This window comes from Homo sapiens, chromosome 14, assembly GCF_000001405.40.
Source record: "Homo sapiens chromosome 14, GRCh38.p14 Primary Assembly".
Lineage (NCBI taxonomy): Eukaryota > Metazoa > Chordata > Mammalia > Primates > Hominidae > Homo > Homo sapiens.
The window spans coordinates 75,044,508-75,053,242 of NC_000014.9; the positions used below are offsets into that span (position 1 = coordinate 75,044,508).

Sequence of the window (8,735 nt, forward strand, 5' to 3'; positions counted from 1 at the left end):
TTACCTCTGAAAAGCCTTCAGTGTAAGTCAGGACATAAAACCACATAGATTGAAAAGCACATAAAGTGGCTTTAAGAGCAACTTGATAGTCTCAGGAACAACAGTGAAAGAAATGAGTTTTCTCCTAATGAATACTACAAAATACTATGAAATACTACTGAAGTTACTACAGTGATTTTTTTTTCACAAGGAAAAACAGAAAAACACTGAAAAGTAAAGGTTTCATTTAACCTTAAAGAAACCACAGCTTTCTGCTAGAGATATTCATCGTCAGGAGAAATTAGAAATTGACTTATAACTACATTTATACATGTTCCATTCTTCTGCAGCATTCAAAATTTTAAATACGGATACAGATGTAATGTTTATCCTCCTAGTGCAAAGCCAAGATTATAGCCAGATGGAAATCAGCTTTATCACCTCCCAACATCTGGCTCTCAACACACTGCCAAAGCAATATCACTTTAAATGTGGACCGAGAACCCAGAGTCCTAGTGCAGGCTCTAATGTAGCCCTGTGGTACGATCTAAAAGCTATATTGGTTGGGTGCAGTGGCTCACGCCTATAATCCCACCACTTTGGGAGGCCGAGGCAGGTGGATCACCTGAGGTCAGGAGATCGAGACAAGCCTGGCCAACACGGTAAAACCCTGTCTCTACAAAAACACAAAAAATTAGCCGGGTGTGGTAGCGGGTGCCTGTAATCCCAGCTACTTGGGAGGCTGAGGCAGGAGGATCCCTTGAACCTGGGAGGCGGAGGTTATAGTGAGCCGAGATCACGCCACTACACTCCAGCCTGGGCAACAAGAGTGAAACTCTGTCTCAAATAAATAAATGCCATATTATTGTCTTCCTGAATAACAGCTACTTGTACCATAAACACATCAAGGAGATTTTACCATATGCATTATAATAAAGTACATTTGAAAAGTATAGTCATGAAAGTATATACTTGACCTATATTTTGAAAATTCATGGACAAGTCCTACTTTCTAGAAAGAAAAAGCTCATAAATGTAGTACTGTACTAAGCCATAGAGTTTACTGGGAAACCTAGGATGATTACAGAATCATTCTGGCCCTTAACCTGGAAGCCACGCAGAGAAACTTCCAGTAAAATACCATGCTGACACTGCAGGTGCCTTTAAAGACACATTTCTAGGAAAGCTGGGCATTTAACAGGAAGGGAAAACAAGGTAGGAAAGTACTGTGGATCTTCCCAACTATTAATAGTATCATTTTTATTAAAATTGGACAGTCTCACCCCTTTTGTTGTTGCTCTAGGTATATACCCATCACCCCCTTTCTTACACATACACACACCCATAGACACATATACACACACTGACATCCTTTCACTGTACTTCTCCATTTAAATAGTGTTGGACCTAGAGGCTGCGTGCGGGCTCACACCTATAATCCCAACACTCTGGGAGGCCGAGGCAGGTGGATCACTTGAGGCTAGGAGTTTGAGACCAGCCTGGCCAACATAGTGAAATCCTGTCTCTACTGAAAATAAAAAAATTTAGCTGGGCATGGTGGCATGCTCTTGTAATCCAAGCTACACTGGAGGCTGAGGCAGGAGAATCGCTTGAACCAGGGGGGCAGAGGTTGCAGTGAGCTGAGATCGCACCACTGCACTCCAGCCTGGGTGACAGAGCAAGACTCCGTCTCAAAAAAAAAAAAAAAAAAAAGTAGTGTTGGACGTAGCAAATCTTCATATAGCATGAAAATACAACATATGTTTTATAAGTGGTCTTCAAAATGTTCTATCTGTTGAGATAATCTCTTTGGATAATGAGGATCTTACTCCTTGTCCAGCATTCCCATCTTCAAAAGCATCTCATGCACATGAATACTACGTACTTACCATTCTCAAGTACAACATCCACAGCCACAGTTGTCAGGTCTTTAGTACAAGCAGCCTGAATGTCCTCAGTTGGGGCAATGAATGTGCTGAGTCCAGTCATTTTGTTGACATAAACCATTCTTCCCAGGGCTACATCGAAATGCCGCTGCCAATCTGAACAACACGTGTTTGACTCTTCAGTTTCAGAACAAGCTCTTGCTTTAGATTCCTCACTCTGAAAACAAATTCCATTTTGGTCACCTGTGGCATCTTCTACCGGATTCATTAACATTCCACTGGGAGAGTCAAGACTTCCTATCTGTTGTTCTGAGGCTCTGATAAGAACATCTGAATCTTTACCGGTAACTTTAGAATTATTATAGGGCAATACCAAAGGAGTTTCTGATATCACACAGTTCTCTGTTGTATTGCTGTTAGAATGTGTTTTACTATTTTTATTAAAGGAATTATCCTGTGTGGCAGAATCTGATGTTGGGATGACACCATTCTCTGTTTTTTCATGCTTGTTGTTAAATAACATACAAAAATCTTGTGTTAACACACTGCACAACTTGCTGTCTTTCCTACTGGAATCTGAATTTGGAAGTTCATTAAAACGACTCATCATCCCCATTGTTTGAGTTTCTCTTTCGGAACCCTTCAGTCTGGATAATTTAGAGGCTAGTGATTCAGATGACTTCTCAAGGTCCAAAGGTTTTCTATTAAAGAGAGATAACTCCTTCAGGGTCATAGGACTTTCTCTCAAACTAGGCATCTGTTGTTCTAAACAATCTTCATCCTTGGAGAATGGAAACTTCTCTGAGTTAAGGATGTGGCTTGCTGGTTGACAACTACTATCTGAATCACTATGCTCCATAGTAGTGATTTTACAAACATCAGAGTTCTCTAAGCGGTTCTTGTCCTTCAGCAGAATGTCAGGTTCAACTTGAAGACTGAGATTGGTAGTGACTCCATTACTTTCCTCTACTTCTGTATCCAGAGGATTTTCAACCTTCCCATATTGCCTCTTAAACTTCTCTAAAGATCCTAGCTGTGAACTCAAGCTTAGCTTCTTACGGACGATTGGTTTGGAGAAACCAATTAATTTATCTGTTTTCCTACTATCATTGGAAACGTGTCTATACCAGGGGAAAGAGGGGGATGTATCAGATAATATGCAATCTGTTTGTGATTTTTTGCTACCTTCCTGAAAAGCAGAAAACATTGTATAAGTTGCTGTAGGTTCATTCTCTAGCCCATAACTTATATTCGTTCTGCAATTTTTTTTGTTGGGCAATTGACCAGATTCTTTACTTAAAGTGCTGGCTAAATCTTTGATGTCTGGAGTTTCAACTGAATGACGTGTTCTATTTCCAAATGTTTCTTGGGCACGTGTGGGACCAGGTCTAACATAATTTTTAAATGAATGTTCTGTTTCAGTTGATTTAGTTTTTTCATTTTGTACTACATGAGTTATAAAGCCAGTGGAACATAATTTAACTCGCCCATAACTAAAAACATTTCTTCTTCCACAATTGCTAGATTCTTTTTTTTTCTCTTTCTCTGTCTGAGCACTATGTACTCCCCATAATGTTGTTGCAAAAGGCAGAGGCTGGCATCCCACTTCAGTAGCATCTTTAAATCTCTTTGGTTGATTCTGAATTCTATTATTTTTCAAGATGTTGGCAGCCATGCCATTAACAGTAGTACTTTCTTTCCATATTTCTAGATCCTGCCCACTCTCCTCAAAGTGACATGGTGTCTGAAAAGGGCTTAAAAACATTTCTAAACTGGTTCCACACGGATTTTCTAAAGAGCTATGTTCCAGGAAAGATTTTTTATGTTTCTCATTTTCTCCAGCTTCTGATGCTACAATTGTCTCTTGTTCTAACATCTTTGATTCTGAGCAAGAGCTGTCTTTGTTTTGTAAAGATGGCTCTGTCATTTTGCTATGGCCTGGACCACCTGATTCATAAATGTACAAAAATGCATCATTTGTATTTTTTCTGGTAGCTTCTGAATCCCTAGAACTCTGTGTGTTTACGTTTTCTGCAGTAGTTTTTCTTTTCACAGCTTTTGACTGCAAATTAAACATCTCATAGGAATCTAAAATATTATTACATGCTTCCTGGAAATTGCTCCTCTCATCGGAAGTCACACGCTTCTGAAGAGTAGCATCAAATAAACTAAAACCATTATCTTCACTAAATTCCTTAATATCCTCACCTGATAATTCCACAAATAATTTTTCTTGCTTTAAAAACATTTTCACTCCTTCCTGAATGCAAAACAAGAGAGTGTCCCAGTTCTGAAATTCAATCAGAGTTTTGGCTGGCTCCATGCACACATCATACTCACAGAATTGGCACTGCACATTAATTACATATATGCCATAGAGTTCTGGGGTAGACCGGTGCCGAAGACTTGAATTCATTTGCCTACTGGTGGGACCATTCTTTGGCTTGCATATAATACTTTCTTTCCTTAATAAAAAGTCAATGAGTTTATGTAGCTTTGTCCTTAAAACTAGTCTTTTGTTCACAAACAAAAACTGCATATTCTTGTTGTAATGTGCTTCAGAGCTGATATAGCCACTAAGCTCAAACTCTTTATATTTAAAACTTATTTCTCTTAGCTTTTGGGACTTTCCCAATCCATAAATTTGACAAAATCGGGAACATACGTCTTTGGTTTTAGGGAGCTGAAGAACCATGGAACCAGAAACATCATTTCTCAAAGAGAAAGAAATGGAAGGGTGCATGAGTGAGAGAGCTTCTATTCTCTGCCTAACCTTCTCAAACTCCAGTCTAGGGTCCATGCATTTCCTCCTTACAGGAAGCTGGTAAAATAGGTTATACACTGTTACAGTAGTCCCAGCGCTTGCTCTAGTCACATCAGCTTCACAAGCTTTCAGGGCTTTTCCACTCTGAAACAGTTTCACAAAAGTTTTCATTGTCCTGTTTTTCTTGGACGAAATTTCCACAGCACTGGCCATGTCAGCAATATTTGCCAAGGCCTCTCCTCGGAAACCATAAAACCTTGGATTCTCCAAGTCCTGTACCGAGTGGCATTTACTGGTGAAATAACGATTTCCCACTTTCTCTACATCATCACTCCCCATCCCAAATCCATTGTCTATCACTTGAACTTGGAAGGTTTCCATATTCACCCTGACAGCCACACATTTTGCTTCAGCATCAATACTGTTGAGGGCAAGTTCCTCAACACATTGGCCCAAGGAGCTTATGGCCAAACCAGAACGCAATTTGGCTTGTACTTCAACTGACAAGCACTTGATCATGGTAGGTAGAAAGATGGTGAGAATGCCAGGCACTGGTTTCCTTCTCTGACTGGAAATAATTGCCTATTGGAGAAAAAAACCACACACGCACATAATCAAAGCTTTAGCATTACACAGCATTATGAAGAAATAGCACTTGAGGTAAATGAAATCACTCTTATTAAACCAAATTGTGAAACAAAGCAAAACAAAGTTATACCGCTGATCTCTAGGCACAGCTCATGCTTGGTGCAATGGATTAACATCCAAAAAAAATTCATAATTTCATAATTTTCAATGCTCCTTTCTAAATCCCACATGTCCTAAAGTGAAATCATAATTACACTTGAAGTTGACCAGTAAACACAGTATTCGAAATTCTAACCACTTCACCAAAAACAGATGCCTAAATTAAATACAGCTAAGGAACATTAGCTAGAAATTATTCATGACAAAAATGTCCAAGCTAGTTTCATAACATTTATACATTACACAATAACCATGACTTTTAGAAAAATACTTATAATGAATTGCTAAGACATTGTAATAAGGTGAAGCAATAGGAAGAAATTTTAAGAATCAAATTGTATCAAAGAGAGATTGGGGGCATTAAGAGGTTATTATTATTATGGTTAAGTATAGTCACCTCAGGGAAAGAGGCTGGGAATGGGAAAAGATAAAGCAGGAAAATTCCTTTTCATATAAACCTTTCTTTGCCATTTGATTGTTAAATCCTGTTCATGTATTACTCTGATGTTTTTAGAAAGTCGTTATTATTCTTTTTTGAAACAGTCTCACTCTGTCACCCAGGCTGGAGTGCAATGACACAATCTCGGCTCACTGCAGCCTGCACCTCCCGGGCTCAAGCAATCCTCCAGCCTTAGCCTCCCGAGTAGCTGGGATTACAGGCGCTCGCCACCATGCCTGGCTAATTTTTGTCTCTTATGTAGAGATGGGGTTTCACCATGTTAACCAGCCTGGTCTCGAACTCCTGAACTCAAGTGATCCTCCCGCCTTGGCCTCCCAAAGTGCTGGGATTACAGGTGTGAACCACCGCGCCCGGCCAGAAGGTCATTATTAATATTCTTTTGGTCTTTACAGATGGGCATAAACTACCTTGGTAATAATAATGATGGCATGGGGCTGCCTGAACTTGATTTTAAGTTTTCCTGCAAGTGAAAACACAAAAACAAAAAACAAAACAAAAAAAACCAAACCCTAAGATTCCAGTGCCATTAAAGGTCTCCCCTTCTTCTCCATCAGTGAGAGCCACGTGGGTGGGCCCCTGCAGGCGGTGGGGCCGGTTTTCCAAACTCGGGACAAATCAGGGCTCTTAACTGCAGAATTTCTGCTGCTTTCTAAGCTAATGCACTAAGCAGCCGGCAGCAACTGACGGGTAAACGTTTAACAAGTATTCCGATTAATGTAAACCCAATGATTTCCTGATGACGCCTCCCAGCGCCTGGGACTGACGGGACGCACGGGCCTGGATCCAGGGCACGGGGGCCTGGGAGGGCCGCGCGGGCCGAGTCCGGGGCAGCGCTGCCTTCCCGCCAGGCCCAGCCCCTCCCTGGCCAGCCCCGTCCTTGTCCCCAAACTGGGCCCGCCCGGCCGCCAGGCCGCCGGGCCTCCGGGGCCCTCGCGCATCCGGCTCCGAAAGCTGCGCGCAGCCATCATCAGGGCCCTTCTGGTGTTAGAAGAGACCCCGGCATCATCTTTTCGTCGCGTGCTTCCCCCAGAGTCACCTGGAGTCCCGCTTAACAAATTCTCCGACACCAACCGCCTCGGACGCCGACGCGCGCACCTTGGATCTTGAGGCTCGTGCGTGCCCACGAGCATGCGCTTCGGAGGGGGCGCGCCAGGCCGCGAGACACCAGTGCGCATGCGCACCAGTTGTTCCAGCCAAGGATCCGCATCCCAGGGTTCAGTGAACCGGTACCTACAGTCTCAATCCTTATTCCCTTTTGGCATGGTGTTAAAGACTATGTCGTAGCTTTTACTTTTGTTTTTATTTTTTTTTCCCGTGTTTTCCCTTTCCTTTTTTTTCTCATTTTCACCTTTGCTCTTAACTACCGTTTAATTCAATATATATTTTATGTGTTTACTTATTGTCTTCTCTCCCTAGAATGTAAGCTATGTGAAGGTAAGGAGTTTATATATTTTGTTTACTGCTGTATCCCAGTTACCAAGAACAGTGCCTGGCCTATGGTAGGCACCGAATGAATGAATAATTCCAGAGCCTGCCATCTTAGAATTATGGCATTTGGAGCTGGAAAAGGCTGAGAAACTGTCTAACTCAACTCTTTTTTTTTTTTTTTTTTTTTTTGAGACGGAGTTTAGCTCTTGTTGCCCAGGCTGGAATTCAGTGGTGCGATCTCAGCTTACTGCAACCTCCGCCTCCAGGGTTCAAGTGATTCTCCTGCCTCAGCCTCCCGAGTAGCTAGGATTACAGGCATGCGCCACCACACTCGGCTAATTTTGTATTTTTAGTAGAGACGGGGGTTTCTCCATGTTGGTCAGGCTGGTCTCGAACTCCGGACCTCAGGTGATCTGCCCGCCTCGGCCTCCCAAAGTGTTGGGATTACAGGCGTGAGCCACCGCACCCGGCCTTTGCTCAACTCTTAATTTACAGATGACAACACCAAGACTCTCTTCACTGACTTGAATCTCCCCAGTGCCACCACAGCTTTTAGTTATAAAAATAACTAAAGGAGAGCAGAACTCTGAGAATGCTGTGAGAATAAAGTGTTTTGGAATTGTTAACCAGTCCTTAGTTTTTGCTTTCTATCTCATTTTCATTGAGAATTTAAAGTGGAATTTATAACGAATTTGTCAGACCTGGTAAGCATTTGATATATGCTAGTTTAGTGACTAACCAAACCCAACCAACCAGTCTTCTAGGGCTGATTAAGCAAAATCCTGATAACTGTTTATGATTATTACTATACCTAGGGCTGCCATAACAAAATACCTCAGACTGAGTAGCTTAAGCAGCAGAAGTCTATTTCCTCTCAGTTCTAGAGACTGGAAGTCTGAGATCAAGGTGTTGGCAGCAACGATTTCTCCTGAGGCCTCTCTCCTTGGCTTGTAGATGGCCATTTTCACAGGGTCTTTGATTTTTGCACACGTGTCTATAGCCAATATGTTCTCTTATAAGAACACCAGTCAGATTGGATTAGGGCCCACCCTCACAGCCTCATTTAATCTTAATCACCTCTTTAAAGGCCCTATGTCCAAATACAGTCACTTTCTGAGGTACTGGGGACTGAGACTTTAACATATGAATTTGGTGGGACACAGTTCAGCCCATAACATAACTTTATGTGAATTCCTTACCCAGAGAAAAGAAACAACAGCAGAAGTAATTCATCCAAACATAAGGTGAACAGAGCTAACAAATTGAACTTGTGGTATTTGTTCTTATTAGGCATGGAATTTCTTGAAGAACATTTCATAGAAACCATTTAAAGAAATGACTCAGACTTTTTTTCTTTCAGACCTCTTTAAATTACCTCAAAATCCTCTTCCTACAAATGTTTACTGAATAAAGACCTCTCATTTCGCCCAAAAGGAAGTTCACTGAAGATTTTTTAAAAGTACTCTAAGCA

General features: G+C 41.5%; 1 protein-coding gene across 17 annotated transcripts in view, besides 1 other annotated feature; it reads right to left on the minus strand.

The window, feature by feature from the left end:
• MLH3 (mutL homolog 3) overlaps window positions 1-6,960 on the minus strand; it is a 37,693-nt gene extending 30,733 nt beyond the window's left edge. For 13 of the 17 annotated variants that reach the window (XR_007064005.1, XR_007064004.1, XR_001750225.3 and 10 more), the window contains exons 1-2: window positions 6,873-6,960; window positions 1,869-5,211 (exon numbers count right to left, since the gene is read on the minus strand). Coding sequence is in view for 13 of the 17 variants with exons in the window: in XM_005267533.6 (XP_005267590.1) it covers window positions 1,869-5,148 (3,280 nt within the window). In the remaining 4 variants the exon portion in view is untranslated. The remainder of the gene's footprint in view (window positions 1-1,868; window positions 5,212-6,872) is intronic. The other 4 variants (XM_047431265.1, XM_024449538.2, XM_017021219.3 and 1 more) reach the window with 1 other exon arrangement.
• Window positions 6,573-6,762: a silencer, noted in NCBI's record as "silent region_5939". NCBI's record gives its function as "represses an Ori minimal core promoter by ATAC-STARR-seq in GM12878 lymphoblastoid cells {active_cell/tissue: GM12878}" and the evidence as "EXISTENCE:reporter gene assay evidence [ECO:0000049][PMID:35858748]".